General features: G+C 41.4%; 1 protein-coding gene and 1 long non-coding RNA gene across 4 annotated transcripts in view; both read left to right on the top strand.

The window, feature by feature from the left end:
* C1QTNF3-AMACR (C1QTNF3-AMACR readthrough (NMD candidate)) overlaps window positions 1–21,198 on the top strand; it is a 137,543-nt gene extending 116,345 nt beyond the window's left edge. Inside the window, exons 7-9 of the long non-coding RNA NR_037951.1 lie at window positions 2,285–2,428; window positions 9,357–9,543; window positions 18,682–21,198. This is a non-coding gene — a long non-coding RNA (C1QTNF3-AMACR readthrough (NMD candidate)). The remainder of the gene's footprint in view (window positions 1–2,284; window positions 2,429–9,356; window positions 9,544–18,681) is intronic.
* AMACR (alpha-methylacyl-CoA racemase) lies at window positions 134–22,019 on the top strand. Of its 3 annotated transcripts, NM_001167595.2 has the most exons (6): window positions 134–411; window positions 2,285–2,428; window positions 3,450–3,610; window positions 9,357–9,543; window positions 18,682–19,073; window positions 19,823–21,198. In NM_001167595.2, exons 1-6 carry the CDS (start codon window positions 165–167, stop codon window positions 19,874–19,876), a joined length of 1,185 nt encoding a protein of 394 aa, NP_001161067.1. In that variant the 5' UTR covers window positions 134–164; the 3' UTR covers window positions 19,877–21,198. The 3 variants fall into 3 exon arrangements, with proteins under 3 accessions (NP_001161067.1, NP_055139.4, NP_976316.1); NM_014324.6 differs by having other exon boundaries at window positions 18,682–22,019; NM_203382.3 differs by lacking the exon at window positions 3,450–3,610 and having other exon boundaries at window positions 18,682–22,019.

Genomic DNA, 22,637 nt, shown 5'->3' with positions numbered 1-22,637 from the left:
CCGCGGGCTTGCGCAGGCCCGCAAAAGAGGGACGGGGGTGGTGCCTTTGGGGCGCGGCGCCGCGGCTGGGGGCGTGGCGCCGGGGATTGGGAGGGCTTCTTGCAGGCTGCTGGGCTGGGGCTAAGGGCTGCTCAGTTTCCTTCAGCGGGGCACTGGGAAGCGCCATGGCACTGCAGGGCATCTCGGTCGTGGAGCTGTCCGGCCTGGCCCCGGGCCCGTTCTGTGCTATGGTCCTGGCTGACTTCGGGGCGCGTGTGGTACGCGTGGACCGGCCCGGCTCCCGCTACGACGTGAGCCGCTTGGGCCGGGGCAAGCGCTCGCTAGTGCTGGACCTGAAGCAGCCGCGGGGAGCCGCCGTGCTGCGGCGTCTGTGCAAGCGGTCGGATGTGCTGCTGGAGCCCTTCCGCCGCGGTGAGCCCGGGCCCCGCGGGCTGCTCTCGGGAAGTTCCCGCGGAGGGGAGGGGCCTGGCCGTTCGATCGAGGCTGCACCCGCCACACCTTTGCCCTGTTGCCGCAAGAACCCTTGTCGGCCCCAGCCTTCCAGATTTTTGCCTCCTAGGGTATTGTTAGTGATCATTCTTCCCAAACTGGATTGTCCAAAACTTGGGTTCTGAGATACTGCTGTTGCCCGGTTTCTCCTTTTGCCTCTCTGACTCCTTCCCAAATTCCTCCTTTTTTTTCTAAGAAACGTTCCGTATTTGCCTTTCTTAATTAATTGAGGGTCTTGAACCCTGTGAGAATCTAATGAAAGCCATAGGATTCCCTTCCTGGAAAACTGCATATAGGCGGTCATTCGGCTACCGTTTTGGAGTGCTGTACCCTCAAGCCATCCACGGGCCCAGGCTAACGCTCCTCCCTGCCTGAAATGCTGGCGTTCTAAGTCTCAGCATCTGCTCCCTGAAGCCCAGTTACCCATTCCCATCATTTTCACCTTTTTGTAGACTTCCCCCTTTCAGAGCGGCAGACGCTGGCATACACAGGTCCTGGGCATCGCCGTCAAGGCTGCCCGCCAGGCAGCTTCCACAAATCCCAAAATGAGCCTTTCCTTCTTCCTTCTAAAACAGCATCTCCACCTTCTGTATTATTTATTTCAGTGAATGCCTGAATCTCAAACTTGTACTTCATCATGGACTCCAGTCTTCCTTTCACATCCAATTTCAATGATCATCAATACAGTCATTTTGCTCCTTAGCCCACTCGGACTATTTCTCTCCATACCTGCTGCAACTGCCTTGACACTGGTGTGACAGCCTTTTAAAAACTGGTGTTTGGGGCTGGTATCACTCCAGTGGATTCTCAGACAGCTGCCAGAATAACTTTGTTCAAGTAGAAATCCAAAGCATTGCCTGGTCTATAGTGGGAAATCGGTAAATGGTGAATGAATGAATGCCTACGGCACAGCCGGCTTATTTAAATGCGTTAACTCATTTAACCCTCACAGCTGTATTTGAGGCTTGTAACAATAATGATTTAATAATTAAGATTATGTAATAATTTAAGAATGCTCCATTTAAGATGAGGGAGGCTTGTCCAAGGTCTTGTAATTAGGAGGAAGGTCGGCTGGGAATACGGATATAGCCTCCGGGTGAGGAGTTGTGACTGGTGTTTAGGTAGATGACTAGAGGTTTTCTGTGATTTATTTTAGCCTTAGGAAGGTAAAGATAGTGAGTTTATTATGTAATTTTGATTACTTTTAATCCCAGGAAATTTCAGGTGCTGGTTACCTGGGGTTTGTGCTATAAATACTATACTTGTTGATAGCTTAAAAACTCTCAGGTGCTATTGTCACTAACCACTCTTTCTACAGATGGGTGCTAAACTTTTTCGTGAAGGTACTGATGCTAGGCACTTTAGCGCCTGTGGAAACATCAGGTGTAAATTCTGCAGGAGGAGCTCATGAGCTGATAGGGAAGATAAGTGTATGCATGTACAAGCAAGTGCAGCTAAGGTGGGATGTGGTAAACACTGATGCGGTATAGAAAAAGAGAAAAGGGATTTACTAAAGGGATGAGACCCTGCTCTGGGGATTGAATAAATAGGCTTGGATAAACCTAGAGGGAAACAGAGATGTACTGGGAGAAATTACATCCTGGGAAGAAGCCACACATTCCAGAAATGGTGGCTTCACTCTTTGAGTCCTTAACTGCTGTAAACATGCCATTAGCCTACAGCAAATGTTATTAATATTACTTGCAATGGTGCTATTTTATGTTTGTCTCAGAGAAGGGATTATCTCCATCCTCAATTCATACTCTCTTAAGAAGATCGTTACTTTTCTCTTAAGGTGTCATGGAGAAACTCCAGCTGGGCCCAGAGATTCTGCAGCGGGAAAATCCAAGGCTTATTTATGCCAGGCTGAGTGGATTTGGCCAGTCAGGAAGCTTCTGCCGGTTAGCTGGCCACGATATCAACTATTTGGCTTTGTCAGGTATGTTGAAAAAAAATTTAGTCTACACTTTTAATTTATTCCATCAAGATCTACAGGTATGTTGATTAACAATAATTTGTAAAGGTAAAAATTTAAACATTTATCAGAATCAATCAAGAGAGCATGGGTGTTCAAAATGGATCGGTTTGAGTCTTGAAACAATCATTCTCAACCTTCCCTCACCCCATCCCTTAACAGGTTGGAAGGTTAATACATGCCCACTACTATCATTTATTTACTACATTTGTTGAGTCAATTCTCAGACAAACCCCTGCTAGGAATTAAGAGGCTTACTGGGTACTACGGATGGTTGCTCTGTGGTTTGAAAATGTTGACATAGTTAGATTCTGACAGCTACTTCTCCCCCGGACCCCGAAATCTCCACCCACCATATTGAGAATCATTGCCTGAGTCATTGTTTCAGACTTCTATGAGCACTAAAAAAAGCCCATGGTTTTCAGGTCCTAATATCACTTTATTAGAGTTTTTGCCTGTGACGACATGTGAGATAGGCCTGATTCCAGAATTCTAAGAACCATGTGTTGTTGACTATAGGACATTTCAGATTTTCTGTGAGTACACATTTAAAAGTTGAGGAAAGAAGTGGGTATAGAATTGTCTCTTCACATCTACTTAAAAATTAAATTCCTTTTTTTTCTTGTCTGCAAGTATTTTCTTACATTTCTTTATGCTAAGAATGAAAGTGCATTTACTGTTTTAAAACCACAAAATAAATAATCATTTTCTTTTCCAAAAGTAAGTGAGTAAAAACTTAGCAATATTTGAAAATGTTGGTTGGAATAGGTTTTAGAGAGGAAAACAACAAAACAAGGATCCTGTCTTGAGGGAAAGCCTGTTTATGAGTTTACTGACTAAGCTCAGATTTGGAAAAGTGATGTATACTAGCTTTCACTTAGATTATCTGCTGGAGAGATTGATTATTCCTCTAAGATGCTCACATATTTATTTTAAGAAGAGATTAAATTTAAAAGAGACATTAAATTTGTTTTTAATGATGTAGGTGTTCTCTCAAAAATTGGCAGAAGTGGTGAGAATCCGTATGCCCCGCTGAATCTCCTGGCTGACTTTGCTGGTGGTGGCCTTATGTGTGCACTGGGCATTATAATGGCTCTTTTTGACCGCACACGCACTGGCAAGGGTCAGGTCATTGATGCAAATATGGTAAGTATTAATTGGGGTAGATGCCTGCCACTTGTCCCTAAGTTTAAGATATAGCTGCTTAAAATCCTTTTTTTGAAGAAGAAGACAAGAGATAAATGACATTTGAAGTTTCAAGCCAGGTTACCAAGGATATCCTTTTCTTTTTAAAATAGACTTATGTCTTTTATATATCTGTTAGAATGTCATATTTTGATCATCTGTCCTTGGAGTCAGTTCTCTGAACTTTCTGTGACTCATGTGATTCCTACGTTGTTTTAGGTTGGTGCAAAAGTAATTGCAGGTTTTGCCAAATATTTGCCAACCTAAATATTTCAACAATTTTCCCCAAGTATCTCTTGTGCTTAGTATATCATTTTCAAGCAGTCGTCATTCAAAAAAAGTTCAAGAAGTCTCCCTCAGCTGGTAGAGAAAATTCTTAGGAATGCTAAGGTCAAATGGACCTCCCTGTCTAAACCTTCCTGCTGCGTTTTATAGGGGATGCTCTGATATCATAACACTTCTGTTTGTTCACTGTCATCCACTGAGTGCTTGCCTCATGTTCTGCTGAGCACATTCCCTGTGTGATTTCTTCTTATTCTCAAAACTGCATTTGGAATACCTTGTTGTTTTAAAGAGGAGGGAACGGAAGCATTGCCATTTGCTCAAGATCTCACAGCTAGTGGGTAAGAGAGCCCACTCCAGCACCACCACTGCGTGTTTGCATTTTCACAGACATTTGGAGGTGGGATGGAGAATGGATCTGAGGAGACAAGACTGGAGGTACAGAGACCAATGACTGGGTTATTGCTGAAGAGATCAGGGCAAGTACTAAAGCAGTTAATGGTAGAGTTGGTTTGCATTGAAGGGACATTTGAGGTATAAAATTGCTGGGAATTGATAATGGACTGACAGGGAGCGAAGAGGGAGAAGTTGAGGCTGGCTCCCAGGTTTCTGGCTTAGATGACCTGCTAGTGTCTTGAGGGAAGACTGCTGAACACAGTGGTCAGAGCATAGAGTGGCAGCTGACTACCTCCGTCCCAGCTCTGCCATTTACTAGCTCTGTGATCTTGGGCAAGTTACTTAACCTCTCTGTGCTGTAGTTTCCTTTGTAAAATGGAGATAATAATGACATCCACCTCATAGCATTGTTAGTTGCTATGAGAATTCAATGAGTTCATCCATTGTTCAGTGTGGGAACAGTGCCTGGCGTACAGTGGGCCCTCTGTAAAAGTTTGTCATTGTGGTTATTTTTACTAGAAGAAAAGGAACTCAGTTTTGGTCTTTTCAGTTTTAAAGTGCCTTTCAGATATCCAGGTGGGATACTTGAGGTTAGGGACTAGAAACAGATTTCGGAGTTATTTGGGAGCCATATGAGACTATGTGATCCACTAGGAAAGGGGATAGAACACCGGCATTTAAGGAATGCGTGGGCAGAAAAGAGAAGCAAGGGCTGAGGACAGCTAAGGAGAGAAGCAGAATGGAGTGTTGTCATGGAAACCAAAGAAAGGAGTGGTCAGAGGGTCAAATGTTGGTGGATACCTCAAGAGTTTAGAGACTGAGAGTGTCAACTGGATTGGGTCCTGGCTGATCTTCACAAAATCCATTTTCTACCAGAAACCCCCTCATCTCCAAAGCTTCAGCCTGCGCTTCCTTCTCCTGTTCATGGTGAATCATGACCAGCCCTGTACTGAGTGTGTGCCTGTGGGACACTGTCATCAGGGCACATCTCACACTTTCCAGTGTGCCCTCTCTGAAGTGTGTACCAGCAGCAGGGGAGTGTGGTTTATCTTTTGTGGGCCAGCTCTTGGCGTACTCATGGCATAGTCGCTGCATGAGATAGCAGCACCGGATTTATACCAGTACCCGCCAAACTCAAGACCGGTACCTTCCACAGGGCTTCTGTGATCCACACAGTTCCCTGAGGGAGACGTGCTACTATCATTGGCATTGAAGACTTGAAGGCTTGGCGAGGTTAACTGCCTTCCTCTAAAGCAGATGACGGGAAAGGGTCCGAAGCACTGCCCCAGGCAGTTGGACCCTAAAGCCACTGCTTTCAACAACTTCCCCTGCTGCCCCAAGAGCATGGTCCCTGGGGTCCAAAAGGAATGAACTAAGAGCAAACATGGAGTCTTGGGAGTGTTAAGGAGAATTTGAGCCTAGATACTTCTCTAGTAATAATTTGAATAATTTACTGAAGAGATGCAATTGATTATCATCAAATATAAATAAAAGGTGATTGCTGCTTTCAGCAGAATGTAGCTAATCAGAATTATATAATGATTAGAAGATAGTAAGGTTGGCTGGGCATGGTGGCTCACGCCTGTAATCCCAGCACTTTGGGAGGCTGAGGTGGGTGGATCACCTGAGGTCAGGAGTTCGAGACCAGCCTGGCCAACATGGTGAAACCCCATCTCTACTAAAATACAAAAAAGTAGCTGGGCTTGGTGGTACGCGTCTGCAGTCCCAGCTCCCTGGGAGGCTGAGGCATGAGAATTGCTTGAACCCAGGAGGCAGAGGTTGCAGTGAGCCGAGACCACACTACTACACTTCAGCCTGGGTGACAGAGTGAGACCGTGTTTCAAAATAAATAAATTAAATAAAGAAGATAGTAAGGTTTTAGGGTATGTGAAAATGTTGTAATCTTTCTTCTGGGTTCATATTTCCATTAGGGGCTAGTAAGTGTTTGCTAATTACACAAGGCTAAAAGAATCAGTAAATCATAGTCATTACTTCATCACTAGGACCCCTTGTGACACAGGCAATTGCAGAAGCTGATTAGGGGAAGGCAGATACCTTCTAATGGGCCGAAAGTTTTCACAGTGTTTAGCAGCAGAATTCCAGACCTGGGCCTGCCTGTGAAGAGCTGGAGGCTGCCTTATTGTAGTGCTGTTTCCTTGGAAACTGTAGTTAAGATAACTCTGGAATATGGAGTGCGTTTTGCTGTATTTACACTCAATCTGAGCCCACATGATGAGCACAGCGTTGTTAAATTAACTGTAGCATAAAGCTGCCCCCTTACGTATTTTAAGTTCCACCTAAAGGTTTCTCTTACATAATGAGCTGTGACCTAACTGGATGTGTAAACAGACTGTAACCTGCTTTTGTAACAAGCAGCAAGTCTCAGCCAATCACAGCAGCCGTACTTCAACTAATCACAGGCGGCCAGCTGTTCAAACCATGTTCAAACAAGGCAAAGGCCCACTTGTAACCAATCCGGCTGTTTCTGTACCTCACTTCTGTTTTCTGTACATCATTTTCCGTCCATAAGTCCTCTTTGGCCCCAGGGCTACACTAGTCGCTCTGAACCTAGTCTGGTTCCACAGACTGCCCAATTCATGAGTCATTCGTTGCTCAGTTAAACTCTTAAATTAATTCGTCTAAAGTTTTTCTTTTAACAGTATCAAAGGTTGGTGGCAAATTGAGGCTGCGGTTTCCCTGTGTCAGGGGGCTCTTCACTCGCATGCATGGTATATGAGTGATGGGGCAAGAGAAGCCGTGTGCCAGGGTAGCCACTGCCAGGCCTTATGATGAGACGAGGAGGGTTCCTGCTGTATTTCTTGTCCTGTACCTCCTCTGATGCTAAGGATTAGACCAGAGCTTGTTTTTGTCCTGAGTGGACCCAACTGGATCTGTAACTCTGTTAACACGTCTATTTTTCAGCAGTCTCATCAGGGCGTTCAACATATAAAAGAGATTAAAGGGGTATTTTATTAGCATAAAACATTTTATGTTTACATATTCAATATTTATATATTATTTTGTCAGACCAACGAAGCTGTTCTGCTAAACACAAACACTGGAAGTTAGAGTTTATGGGTGATTGTCTCATCGCTTTCAGTATTCAGTTTATTACTGTATTTCATTTTGACTGGATGTTAGGAAAATCCTGAGTTACAGAGATAAGTTAAAAATATCCATAGTTTTTACGCAAAAATTAGCTGGGTGTGGTAGGCACCTGTAATCCCGCTACTCGGGAATCTGAGGCAGGAGAATCGCTTGAACCTTGGAGGTGGAGGTTACGGTGAGCTGAGATTGTGCCACTGCACTCCAACCTGGGCAACAGAGTGACACTCCATTTCAAAAAAAAAAAGACCCTATATTTTTAAAAACTTGCTTAAAATTTCAGATTGCATTTCATTTATGATGAAGCAGAACAAAAATACTTTGTTTCTAGGTCGACTCACTACAGTGTGTAAAAACTTCTCACATTCTTTGGCCTGAACATGAAAGCCAGATAAACAGTATTCAGAACTCTCTGCTAAAACTCTCTCTTGCACTGTATGACAAGCTTGCTTCCAGTTCATCTATTACCGCCCTATTGATTCGGCGTTAGGCTCTGAGAGAAGTAAAGCTTGAGCGGAAAGCAGGCACTTGCTTATTGAAGGTGCTAACTTGTTGGTTTTGTATGAGTCAGCACAAATTAAGAGGAGAGGAGAACCATGCAGAACAAAGGTTTTCCTCAATAGTGTTTCAAATACAAGGTAATATTTATGCAAAATTGGAAGGAAAAGCTTTATTTTAAAGTCTAGCAACAAATGTTAATGAGTTGAGGCTCTGATGAGTCAGAATTTGGTATAGGATACATTTAAATATGTGCTTAAATAACATAAACATAAAATATATTTAAAATAGTGCGCATATACATGCATATGTGTATATATGTGTGTGTGTGTATGTGTATAAATGTGGAACTCTAATATCTCTGTAATCCAGCCTCAAAAAAAGGCACTGCCGTAGGCCACTTGCATGAACTCAGCTATTTGGTGACAATAAATGTCACAGCCATAAATTCAGATGTGCGTGAAATTTCAAGTTAAGAGGGAAAATTGGATATATCCAAAGATACATTTTGTGGTTGTTCCACAGTCAGTAACTGAGAAATTGCTAGCAGTTGGAATGAGGCCTGCTCTATTGGTAGCTTTTGAGACGAGGATGCTTTGAAGGCCTTCCTCCTGGGGTGCTGGAGACATTAGGCTCATAAAAGGCATAAAGGTCAGAACATCATCTTCTTCAAATAGTCCAGTGCCTTCAGCCTTTGAGTTTGAGCCTTGTGATAATTGTACTTTATTGTGTAATTACTTCAGGACTCAGTGGGAAGGTGGCGTGATGAGATGACTTTAGGACTCAGTGGGAAGGTGGCATTCCCAAACCAGTTTGCCTGGACTCAGAAAATGCACATACCTGCCATCCATATTGTTAGTTTATTTTATAACTTTCTAGTGATTATGAAATACATTAAATACTCAAATACAGTTTTCTTGGGATTGGAATCAAGCCAGAATAAGCCAAATTTTACTCTTATGTGATTTACCTTTAAAATGTGGTATGGTTTATACATCTGTGTGTGTTTATAGGTATGGAGATCAGAAGATGGATTTTTAAAAGCTCTTTTAATTTTTAACTTTTTATCTTGGCAGTTTTTAACATTATAAAAAGTAGAGAGAATAGTATAGTGACCTTCCATGTACCCTCACCTAGCTAAATCACTAGCATTTTGCCAATCTTATTTGAAATGGAAAGCAAAGGTCATTTCTTCTAAGTCTTATAGTATTTTTGGAACTGAATAGTGCAGCCAATTGTTATTTTAACACAAACTGCTCTAACTCACTTTCTGGAAATACCAGAGAAGTTGTGTAATTAGGTAGAATCTTCGTATACTCTAAGATAAGAATTTTTACGCAAATTTTTTTTAACTTGAATGGGAGGAATTATTCATGCTTTGACACTTGAGTTATCTGGATTTGTCTTGTATTCTGTTTTCTCAAAGGTGGAAGGAACAGCATATTTAAGTTCTTTTCTGTGGAAAACTCAGAAATTGAGTCTGTGGGAAGCACCTCGAGGACAGAACATGTTGGATGGTGGAGCACCTTTCTATACGACTTACAGGACAGCAGATGGGGAATTCATGGCTGTTGGAGCAATAGAACCCCAGTTCTACGAGCTGCTGATCAAAGGTAAGTGAACTTCACGCGTCTCCCCCAGTTCCCCTTTTGCTGTGGATGTTCTTTGGTTCTATTTTAAAGACTTTTGGCATCTAGGATGTCTTTTATTATATAGCCACTTTCTAATTAACCTAATTATAGCCATCAATATAATGTGGGGCATTTTCCATGGCTTTTAAATTGACCAGCAGTCTTACTAGTCTATAAAATAGCTGAGGGTTTTAAAAATAATAATCCCTTTTGTAGGATGTTCGGTGCTTTTATTACAGTTCACTCCTTGTGTTGGATAATCTTGACCCTGTGTGCCCAGATCTTACTCTTCCCTAGAAATGATCTCACATGGGTTGCTTTCCATTCAATATTCTACCAGCTCCTATTTCTTGGTAGATGTCCCTTATGGCACTTCAATGTCAGAAGTCACCAGAGCATGGAAAGATTTTGCCAAATGAGATTCTGTTAGAATATGTTACTATATCACTATGCCTTTGCAGATGACCTGTCTTGCAGATTCTTGCCTGCTTGGCAAGTTGTCATAAATTAGCAAGAAAATTTGGGATCTCTTCTTCCCTAATTAAATAATTGGATGGGAGTCGTTTTGTTCCTGAGAAATGTTTGAATTTAGAGTTCACTCTATAAATAATGTAGAATCTAAGAAGTTTTAGAATATACTCTGAAGTGATGTGAAAGCTGATCACAGTGCATTTACCTTTCTACTACAAGTTTAGAGTTTCATTGTTACGTTTGGTAGCTTTTCAGATGCATATACTAAAAGTTATTTGCATATAGCTGGAATGACTTTTTTTAAATTTTCCAAATTTTTGATGTGTTCTTATCTGATGGAGTAATTGTTTTTGCAAGCATCTGAGAGCATTTTATGATTAAACATATTAACTTCACCTATTCAAATATAGTTGGAAAAACTATAGAAGAACACAATGGTTTATCTAGATCATAAAGGGTACCTCTCTGTCCAGAAATTAAAAAGCTTGCCTTTTGTCACTGCTCCAAATAAATTGGAAGCTCTGGCTGCTCATGATGCTCTGGTGGAGCTCTGTGGAGCCATGAACACTGCCACCTGCAGTCTGATGAAGATAGCAAATGATATTCATTTTCTGAGTTCTGGTCCTTGGCCAGGTCTGGGAGAACTGATCTTGCTGAAAATACAACAGGAAGCAGTATCGTGCCAGGCAAGGCAAACCCTCGTCAGTGTGAAGCAATGGCCATCGTTGCAGCCCAAGTCATGGGGTTTTGTGTGGCAGTAACCGTTGGAGGCGGCAATGGCCATTTTGAGTTGGATGTTTTCAAGCCAATGATGATTAAAAATTTATGTTACACTCAGGCTGCTGGGGGATGCTTCAGTTTCCTTCACAGAAAACTAAATAGTGGGAATCCGGACCAATAAAGAAAGGATCAAGAAGCTAATGAATTAGTCGCTAATGCTGGTGACAGCTCTCAACCCTCATATAGGGTATGACAAAACAGCAGAATTGCTAAGACAACACCCCAAAATGGATCAACCTTAAAGGAAACTGCCGTTGAACTTGGCTCTCTCACAGCAGAGCAGTTTGATGAATGGGTAAAACCTAAGGACATGCTGGGTCCAAAGTGACTTAAATAAGTTTTAATGAAAATAAACGTGTAAAATTAAAAAAAAATACTGGACATTTTAAATAATTTAATGTGACAACTCCCAGGACTCCTCAGGATCCCTCAGTCCTGGGCTTGTTATTGTTGCTGTTTGTTTAATGATTTTCTTAAATTAAATCTGTATTCTTTGGCATGTGCAGCCACCGAAGTCAGCTGAGTTAGCTTCAGCTAATGATTGGACAGAAATGTCCTTAAATACCTTTTTTTTTTGTTTGCTTGTTTGTTTTAATCTAGGGGACAGGGTCTCACTCTGTTGCCAAGGCTGGAGTGCAGTGGTGTGATCATAGCCTTGAACTCTGCAGCCTTGAACTCTGGGGTACCAGTGATTCTCCTGCTTCAGTCTCCCAAGTAGCTGGGACTATAGGCAAAATTTTTTATTTTTGGTCGAAATAGAATCTTGCTATTTTGCTGAGGCTGATCTTGAACTCCTGACTTCAAGCTATCCTCCTGCCTCAGCTTCCCAAAGTACTGGGATTTCAGGCATGAGCCACTGCGCCTGGCCCTTAAATGCCTTGAACCAATAAATCTCCCATCTTTTTCTGAGGCACTATATGCCTTAACTTCTTGCTTGTGAAGAGCCTCAAGGTCAGCCAGAGGTGAGAGACGAGGGCCTTTACAGATCTCTCCCAGGCATTCATACTGCCCTGCGTGTGTACGTGTGCGTTGCCTTCTCAGGAGTTGCAAAAAAAATTCTCAGGAATATGTTGGAGCTTTTCAAAGTCCCCTATGGATATCCCATTCCCCAGTTTATTCTTTTGAGTTTTTTGGTCAGCATCTTATGAGCTGCAATAAATAACACCACCTAAGACAGCTGCGATAAAATATTGCCTTTTTTTTTTATTAAATCAACAATTTAGGGCTAGAGCAAAGTGAGCTCTGAGTCAGAAAGACAAGCCCTGAGAATGGAGCCTTTCAGGGAGCTGCCAGACAGGCTAAATAATGACAGTTCTCTGGGGATGGGATTTTGGGGGAAGCTGCAAACTTCTTTTCCTCCTCTCGGGGCTATTCTCCTGCTGGTTTTCAGAACTGACCAGAGTTGAGAGGAAGTTGTTTTTCAAGGCTACCACAGGGAGAGGGTTGAAATTAGCACAAGTTCTAACACCACAAAGCTCACTGCTCTTACTGAGATTCAGCTGTTTTTCTTGAATAAATGCTCCTTGGCTTGCTGCAAGCTTTTAATTTCCAGAATTATGAAAAAGTTAATTCTGACAGTTGTTGTTAGTGTTCTCATTGCTTTAATGCCGGTTTTTGAAGGCTGTCATTCTGCCACTCTGGAGTTAACTCCCTTCCTTGGTGTATCCTGTTATTTTAAAACATATACAGTAGTCCTCTCTTATCTGTGGGGGATGCATTGCAAGACCCCCAGTGGGTGCCTGAAACTGCAGATAGTACTGAACCTGATTGCGGTCAATTGGAAGATGTTTCTGTTTATGTCTTCCACCCACAAAGTTAATGCGTTTTCCATCTTAATTAAGCACTTATGCACTATGGCTGTAACTTTTCAGTCTGAGTTGTGACAGCAAAACTAGCATGAATTTCTTTTTCCTTCTCCCCTTCTTCACAATCTCATGAATATAAGATTCATTCTTAACAGTCGATTTTAGCAACCTTGGCTTATGAGTTTTATTCTTCCCTTAAGCTGAGAGCTTTCACCTTTTCACTTAAGGGAAGCACGTTAGGCTTCTCTTTGGCATATCCACATTGCCAGCATCACCTTTGCTTACAACCTTTGGGGCCCTTAGGAAGTAAAATAAGGGTTACTTGAACACAAGCACTGCAATACTGCAGCAGTCAACCTGACAACCTAGTTGGCTGCTAAGTGACTAATGGGCTGATAGCCCCACAGTGTGGATGGGATGGACATGGTTCATGTCCAAGGCAGGATGGAGCAGGATGATGTGAGGTTTCATCATGCATCATGCTACTCAGAACAGCATGCAATTTAAATTTATGAATTGTTTATTTCTGGAATTTTTCATTCAGTATTTTCAGACCATGGTTGACTGTGGGTAACTGAAACCACAGAAAGCCAAACCTCGGATGAAGAAGCACTGCTGTATGTGTGGAGTGCTCATTTTTCATATCCACACTTCACCTCAATGAATGAGCCTTCCTGGAAACACTGAAAATGAAACAAGACAACATTTTTCTAGCAGGGTCATTGCTCCAACCCCTTAACTCCTGATCACCTTCTCCTGGGTATTCTTCTGCTGAGTTTAAACTTTGTAACTCCCCTGATTTTTTTACAGCCCCCTCTTTTTGCATCCATAGCCTTTTATGATATCCTTAACCCTCATCTCCCTTCATAGTTTACCTAGGATCCTTAGCTGACAGATGACTTGTGCTATAGGAGATAGCATGTTAAACCACCTTTCACCTAATCTACCTAGTCCATGCCAAAATGCCTCAGCATTCTCTTTCTTTTATAATATTTATTTACAAAAATAGTACTTTTACTAATCACATATACATTTCTTCTCTCTCAAGTCCTACTGGACAAACCCCCACATCTGTAGTAATTTTTTGAGGGCCAGGTGCGATGGCTATGCCTGTAATCCCAGCACTTTGGGAGGCCGAGGCAGGTGGATCACTTGAGGTCAAGAGTTCAAGACCAGCCTGGGCAACATGGTGAAACCCCGTCTCTACTAAAGATACAAAAATTAGTCAGGTATGGTGGCGCGTGTCTGTAATCCCAGCTGCTCGGGAGGCTGAGGCACGAGAATCACTTGAACCGGGAGGCAGAGGTGGCAGTGCACTGAGATCGCATCACTGCCCTCCAGCCTGGGTGACAGAGCGAGACTCTGTCTCAAAACAACAACAATAATAGTAATAATTTTTGAGGTAGTACTAATTACATATCTAATTTACTCCCCTTTGTGTTTTAGATCTTTGATACCATACTTTAATCTGTATCTTCAGTTTCTGAACATAAGTATGCAAAATCTTTTTAAGGTGCATACTCTGCTGCGTCCCTGCTATTTTCTAGGACAAAAATAATCTGAAAACACTGAGAATTTTATGACATTTTGAGATAGCAAGTCTCTTATAGTACAATCAGGTAAGCAATAGATAATTTTCAAAAGCTGTTTTATCAGTAGATAATTTTCAAAAGCTGGGTGATCTCTGTCACCCAGGCTGGAGTGCAGTGGCATGATCTCGGCTCACTGTAACCTCTGCCTCTTGGATTCAAGTGATTCTCCTGCCTCAGCCTCCTGAGTAGCTGGGATTACAGGTGCCCACCACCACGCCCGGCTAATTTTTGTATTTTTAGTAGAGACGGAGTTTCACCATGTTGACCAGGCTGGTCTCGAACTCCTGACCTCAAGTGATCTGCCCCCACTTAGCCTCCCATAGTGCTGGGATTAGAGGAGTGAGCCACCACTCCTGGCCTTCAAACTATTATTTCTAAAAAATACAAAATAACAAGTGTTGGCAAGGGTGTAAGGAAACGAAACACTTGTGTATTACCAATGAGAGTGTAAAGTGGTGTAGCCACTGTCAAAAACAGCGTGCATTTCCTCAGAAAATTAGACATAGAATTGTATGATCTAGCAATTCCACTTCTAAGTATATAACCAAAAGAATTGGAGGCAGTGACTCAAACATATATTTGTATATCTGTGTTCATAGTGACATTATTCACAATAGCCAAGAGGTAGAAGCAACTCAAGTGTCCATCAACAGATGAATGGATGAACAAAATGTGGTACAGACATAAAATGGAATGTGATTCAGCCTGAAAAAAACAAGAAAATTCCAACACGTTACAACAGAGATGAATCTTGAAGACATTATGCTGAGTGAAATAAGTCAGTCACCAAAGGGCTAATACTGTATGATTCTACTACATGAAATGTCTAAAGTGGTCAAGTTCATAGAGACAGAAAGTAGAATGGTGCTTGCCAGAGGCTGTGGGGAGGTAGGAGCGGGAGTTAGTGTTTACTGGGTTCAGAGTTTCTGTTTGAAAAGTTGAAAAAGTTCAGGAGTTGTGTGGTACAGATGGATGGTGGTGATAGATGTAAAGCAGTATGAGTGTACTTAATGCCCTAGTACTGTACACCAAAAAATGGCTGAAATGGTAAACTTTATGTATATTTTACCACAATTTTCAAAAATGAAATAACAATTTAAAATTATATGTTTGCTAGGAAAAAAAAAAGCAATACGGATTTTAAAAAGTAAGAAGGGAAAATTTTCCTTTGTTCTTACGGTTTGGGAAAATATGGGATGTGGCCTTCAAGAATTTTTATTGTACACATACAAATGCACAATTATTCTATTCTATTTTATTTTTTTGAGACAAGGACTTACACTGTTGCCTAGGCTTGAGTGCAGTGGCACAAACATGGCTTCCTGCAGTCTTGACCTCCTGGGCTTAAGCAATCCTCCTGCTTCAGCCTCTCGTGTAGCTGGGACCACAGGCCTGTGCCACCAGGCCTGGCTAACTTTTTGATTTTTTTGTAGAGACAGGGACTTTACTAAGTTGCCCAGGTTGGTCTTGAACTCCTGGGCTCTAGTGATCCTCCTGCCTCAGCCTTCCAAAGTGCTGGGATTACAGGCGTGAGCCACTACACCCAGCAATTATTTTCTGTTTTACAATTTATAATTTATATATATAATTATATAAATTTATAATTTATAGCTTTTTATACAACAATATAGCAAAGACATTCTTTCTTGTCTGTACAAAAGATCTTCACCCTCACCCATTTGATATAGCAGCCATATCATATTTTTGATCTGCCTGTACTAAAATTTATATAACCAATTCCCTATGCAAGTTCATTTACATTTTTTCCAATTTTGTATTATAAAAATAATTTTTATGGCCGGGTGTGGTGGCTCACACCTGTAATCCCAGCACTTTGGGAGGCCGAGGCGGGCGGATCACGAGGGCAGGAGTTCGAGACCAGCCCGGCCAACATAGTGAAACCCCATCTCTACTAAAAAATACAAAAAATTTGCCGGGCATGGTGGCAGGCACCTGCAATCGCAGCTACTCGGGAGGCTGAGGCAGGAGAATCTCTTGAACCTGGGAGGTGGAGGTTGCAGTGAGCCGAGATCGTGCCATTGCACTCCAGCCCAGGCAATAGTGTGAGACTCTGTCTTAAATAAATAAGTAAACAAATAAATAAAAATAGGGAGGCTGAGGTGGAAGAATGGCGTGAACCTGGGAGGCAGAGCTTGGAGTGAGCCGAGATCACACCACCGCACTCCAGCCTGGGTGACAGAGGGAGACTCCGTCTCAAAAATAATAATAATAATAATAATAATAATAAAATAGTGTTTACAATTGCCATCCTGGACATATATCATTGAATACTTACAACTTGAATTTTGACTGCTTACTATATACTTAATATTATAAAGCAGTAAAGTTTATGGCATGTACTTAAAAGAATAAGCATTTTGTGTAACGTGTGTGTGTGTGTGTATGGTAGTTATTTTTTGGAATCAAAACATGCTTTCCCAAGTTTTAAATGGTGTCTGAGTCCCCAGGCTAGTTCCTGAAAATCTGTTTGACTTAAAATGCCAGAAATTTCATAGTGATTGTACCATAACAGCTAGCCACAATCTATAACTGTATTTATACAATTATGGATTCTGAGACTTGGGACTGGATTCCAAGTTCCATATTGGAGTGTCAGGAGCACAGCAAACAGCTCACCTTAAACCATTGGTGTTTAATCCTGTGGCCTTGGTCAGGGTCATGGGCAGGATGGGAGATTGTGGGCTGTGAAGGGATGGTAGACAATGGGAGAATTGGGGTGTTAGAGTTAGGGTAGGATCTGGGGGCTTTTGATTTCTAGTATTTTTCTAGCATACAAACTATGACCTGTGTAATCTCAGCTATAAAGTTAAAGAGAGAACACATTGGCTCTAGCTTTACTTAGTGTTATGATTCTGATCACATTCTGATAAAAAGAAACTGTTTTAAAAGCATGTGAAGATCACTACTTTTTGCTCAATGCTCATTTTATGTGCCTTTCACTCACAGAGTTCAGGGCAATCAAGAAAGAACATCAAGTGAAAGACATCCTGTAGATTATAGTGATAACCTGAAACTATGGCCTCATATCCGTCCTGGTATTTGAATGGGACTGGTGGTTACAGAAGAAAATGTACTTATATCCCACAGGAGGCTGTTTACAAAAATCTGGAACTGTGTTAGTTCTTCCTATTTCCTCATAGTCCTCAAAACCTTAAGAAGAGGCTTCAGTATTTATGTCTTCTTACCTCTATAGGGACTTTACCATCTTCAGAGCAATTTACAATTAGCCTTGATTGTCAACATGCTACAGAAGGAAGGTATTCTATAAGTGAGGATTATTCAATTAACTTGGCTAAACTTACACACAGTGTGATGCATAAAGAAAGGGCCTTTCATTATCATTCGACACTTAGCCATGCACTTTTAAAAGCCCGCTTATATGGGGAAGAAAAAGGACAATTTACACCAACTATTGTAAAGCAGCCCTGCTCTTTGGGTATAATTTAATCAGAACTGGAGTTTGGGCATGTCTGCAGGGGTAGAACCACATAGTCAGTAAAGGAAACGCAGATGGGGTCAAGAGCTAGAGAGGCCACCTTTCCTGTTAAGTCCCCAGGTAGCTGCTGTCATGTCCTCTGCACTGTGGTCTTGATGGGCCCTTCAAGTCCCTTTCATGCCGGAGAGGAAAGTCTGCATGCCCCACTGTTGACTGGCGGCTAATAAGTTTCTGTTTTGTTTATTATAGGAACAATTTGCTTGAGTCTTTGGTTACCTTACAAGTCCTTCATCCTAGTACAAAGCCCTTTTGGGCTCTTTTATTTTAAAAATGTATGTATGTTTGTATGGATGGATGGATGGGTGGATGGATGATGGATGATGGGGGTCTTGCTGTGTTGCTCAGGCTGGGCCTTGAACTCCTGGGCTCAAGCAATCCTCCAGCCTCAGCCTCCCGAGTAGCTTGCAGTATACTCGTGCCATCACTCCTGGCCATTCCAGCTCTTTTATTTTAACAAAATAAAGATAAATGAATGTATTTAAAAAATTGCAATCCTGAATTAAATAATTTGTCTTCAGGCTTCTTCCTTGGAAACTGAGATGGCCAAATGTAAAATTGTTTATATTTTATTTTTTTATAAGGTTTGAATACATTATAGAAAATAGGGAGTTATTTTAGCTCAGTATGACTGGTAATAACACCCTGGGGAAATTTTTTTTCAAAATCTACTCAGAGGTAGGAAATCAATTTCTGGAAACCAGACCATTGAAAACAGACTACTTTTGATGAAATGTGAATAATAAAATCTCAGTAGTGACAAGTCTGACTACCTCTGCCCTCTCTAGCCTTTGGCTCTAACCTTAAACTGATTTTACATTTTTTTCTCTTGACTCATTTGAGAAGCCCTTATAGAACATCTTATTTTGCATAGTACAGTGGGCTCAGCATTCATTTTTATTGATTATAATTGCTCTGTTCAAAGCATAATAATTTAGGAAATTGTATTTTTCCTCAGGACTTGGACTAAAGTCTGATGAACTTCCCAATCAGATGAGCATGGATGATTGGCCAGAAATGAAGAAGAAGTTTGCAGATGTATTTGCAGAGAAGACGAAGGCAGAGTGGTGTCAAATCTTTGACGGCACAGATGCCTGTGTGACTCCGGTTCTGACTTTTGAGGAGGTTGTTCATCATGATCACAACAAGGAACGGGGCTCGTTTATCACCAGTGAGGAGCAGGACGTGAGCCCCCGCCCTGCACCTCTGCTGTTAAACACCCCAGCCATCCCTTCTTTCAAAAGGGATCCTTTCATAGGAGAACACACTGAGGAGATACTTGAAGAATTTGGATTCAGCCGCGAAGAGATTTATCAGCTTAACTCAGATAAAATCATTGAAAGTAATAAGGTAAAAGCTAGTCTCTAACTTCCAGGCCCACGGCTCAAGTGAATTTGAATACTGCATTTACAGTGTAGAGTAACACATAACATTGTATGCATGGAAACATGGAGGAACAGTATTACAGTGTCCTACCACTCTAATCAAGAAAAGAATTACAGACTCTGATTCTACAGTGATGATTGAATTCTAAAAATGGTTATCATTAGGGCTTTTGATTTATAAAACTTTGGGTACTTATACTAAATTATGGTAGTTATTCTGCCTTCCAGTTTGCTTGATATATTTGTTGATATTAAGATTCTTGACTTATATTTTGAATGGGTTCTAGTGAAAAAGGAATGATATATTCTTGAAGACATCGATATACATTTATTTACACTCTTGATTCTACAATGTAGAAAATGAGGAAATGCCACAAATTGTATGGTGATAAAAGTCACGTGAAACAGAGTGATTGGTTGCATCCAGGCCTTTTGTCTTGGTGTTCATGATCTCCCTCTAAGCACATTCCAAACTTTAGCAACAGTTATCACACTTTGTAATTTGCAAAGAAAAGTTTCACCTGTATTGAATCAGAATGCCTTCAACTGAAAAAAACATATCCAAAATAATGAGGAAATGTGTTGGCTCACTACGTAGAGTCCAGAGGGACAGTCAGTTTTAGGGTTGCCTGTATCCAGTAACTCGGGGCCTGTTTCCCCGTGGGTCTCTGGGCTGTCAGCTTTCCTTTCTCCATGTGTTTGATTTCTCCTCAGGCTGGTAGCAAGTTCTGGATCTTATACCCAACACACAGCAACATCCAGAAATAAAGATCTCAGGACCCCCCAGCAAGTCGTTTTGTGTCTCCTTGGACTGAGTTAAGTTACAAGCCTTTCTTATACCTGTCTTTGACAAAGAAGACGGGATTGTCTTTACATAAAACCAGCCTGCTCCTGGAGCTTCCCTGGACTCAACTTCCTAAAGGCATGTGAGGAAGGGGTAGATTCCACAATCTAATCCGGGTGCCATCAGAGTAGAGGGAGTAGAGAATGGATGTTGGGTAGGCCATCAATAAGGTCCATTCTGCGCAGTATCTCAACTGCCGTTCAACAATCGCAAGAGGAAGGTGGAGCAGGTTTCTTCATCTTACAGTTGAGAAAACAGAGACTCAGAAGGGCTTCTTAGTTCATGTTTCCCTTAGCGCCTCAGTGATTTTTTCATGGTGGCTTAGGCCAAAAGAAATATCTAACCATTCAATTTATAAATAATTAGGTCCCCAACGAATTAAATATTATGTCCTACCAACTTATTAGCTGCTTGAAAAATATAATACACATAAATAAAAAAATATATTTTTCATTTCTATTTCATTGTTAATCACAACTACTTACTAAGGAGATGTATGCACCTATTGGACACTGTGCAACTTCTCACCTGGAATGAGATTGGACACTGCTGCCCTCATTTTCTGCTCCATGTTGGTGTCCATATAGTACTTGATTTTTTATCAGATGGCCTGGAAAACCCAGTCTCACAAAAATATGAAATTATCAGAAGGATTATAGTGCAATCTTATGTTGAAAGAATGAACTACCTCACTAGTAGTTCACGTGATGTCTGACAGATGTTGAGTTTCATTGTGTTTGTGTGTTCAAATTTTTAAATATTCTGAGATACTCTTGTGAGGTCACTCTAATGCCCTGGGTGCCTTGGCACAGTTTTAGAAATACCAGTTGAAAATATTTGCTCAGGAATATGCAACTAGGAAGGGGCAGAATCAGAATTTAAGCTTTCATATTCTAGCCTTCAGTCTTGTTCTTCAACCATTTTTAGGAACTTTCCCATAAGGTTATGTTTTCCAGCCCAGGCATGGAGGATCACTTGAGGCCAAGAGTTCGAGACCAGCCTGGGGAACTTGGCTGGACCTCCGTTTCTACGAAATAAAAATAAAAAAATTATCCAGGTATGGTGGTGTGTGCCTGTAGTCCTATCTACTCAAGGGTGGGGCAGGAGGATCACTTGAGCCCAGGAATTTGAGGCCACAGTGAATTAGGATTGCACCACTGCACTCTAGCCCAGGCAACAGAACAAGAACCTGTCTCTAAATAAATAAATAAAAATAATAATAATAAAAAAGATGTTTTCCCTACAACTCAGACTTTTCATTTGAACTCGGTCCAGCAAGGAAAATATAACCCACTCGAAGTCTTTAAAACAGAGGAAATTTAATATAAAGAATTCCACTGGTGACGAAAGAGCAGAGAAGCCCAGAAGATAGTGAGGCAACCCTGATAGGAACATAACTAGGAAGCCAAGACCACTCCTATGGTTGCAGGGGTGATGGGAAAGCTGGTGTACTTGGACCCAGAAGCCAAAGTTGCTGCACCCACCTTGGAGACATAGACACTGGCAGTAATACCTCAGGGAGAAGAAAGAAATCTAGGGAAATATCCTGGCTTCTTTCCTTCTCTCTCTCCCCTAGTCTTCCTACCAGTGTCTCCCATTAGCCAAATCTACCTAGAAGCCAGAAAACAAGGGAACCCTGGAAATGTAGCCCCATAAGATAAAGAGCACCAAAGGAAATAGATCTGAGCAGACAGGCAGCACAAAATGCAGTGTGTATGGTTTATTCACTCAGTAATTCCTTTAGCAAATGTTTATTGAGGATCTACTAGGTGCCAGGTATCATGATACTTGCTGGGGATACCATAATGAACAAAACAGACCTGTTCTCCGCTCTTGAGGAAATCAAAGACAAACACAGGATATGGAATAAACCCAGAATTATCTCATTGTAAAATGTGTTAAGTACCACGAGGAGAAATATCAGGGCGATCTGACACAGCTAATGATTTGAAGAAGGGTGTGACCTGCCACCATTTTAAATCTAGTTATTTCACTCCTGAGCTGTGTGTGTGGAAAACTTGTAGTAAAAAATAGAATGTCTATATTTATAAAAAGTTTATGAAAAGATATCAATTTATTTACATTTTGACAAACTCTATGTAATAAGGCTTTATTACCTCACGGCCATGTGTGTGATCATGTGTAATAGCATGTGTGTATGAGAGAGAGAAGCCATATGTAATTATGTGTAATAACGTCTGTGAGAGAGAAGCCATGTGTGTGATCATGTAAAATAACGTGTGTGAGAGAAGCCATGTGTGTGATCGTGTAAAATAACGTGTGTGAGAAGCCGTGTGTGATGTGTAATAACACGTGTGTGAGAGAGAAGCTATGTGTGCAATCATGTGTAATAGCATGTGTGTGTGAGAGAAGCCATGAGTCCGATCATGTGTAATAACGAGAAAAGCCCCATGTGTGATCATGTGTAATAGTGTGTGTGAGAGAAAAGCCATGTGTGTGGTCATGTGTAATAATGTGTATGAGAGAGAAGCCGTGTGTGATCGTTGTGTAATAACGTGTGTGAGAGAGAAACCATGTGTGATCATGTGCAATAGCATGTGTGTGTGAGAGAAGCCATGTGTGATCATGTGCAATAGTGTGTGAGAGAGAAGCTGTCATGTGTAATAATGTGTGAGAGAAGCCATGTATGATCATGTGTAATAACGTGAGAGAAGCCATGTGTGA

This window comes from Homo sapiens, chromosome 5 (genome assembly GCF_000001405.40).
Source record: "Homo sapiens chromosome 5, GRCh38.p14 Primary Assembly".
Classification (NCBI taxonomy): Eukaryota; Metazoa; Chordata; class Mammalia; order Primates; family Hominidae; genus Homo; species Homo sapiens.
This window is presented reverse-complemented; position numbering and strand designations above follow the sequence as displayed.

Coding starts and splice junctions, on each gene's coding strand:
- AMACR (NM_001167595.2), top strand. CDS start 165: ATGGCACTGCAGGGCATCTCGGTCGTGGAGCTGTCCGGCCTGGCCCCG. Junction 2,429..3,449: donor CAACTATTTGGCTTTGTCAG/GTATGTTGAAAA, acceptor TTAATGATGTAG/GTGTTCTCTCAAAAATTGGC. Junction 9,544..18,681: donor CTACGAGCTGCTGATCAAAG/GTAAGTGAACTT, acceptor ATTTTTCCTCAG/GACTTGGACTAAAGTCTGAT.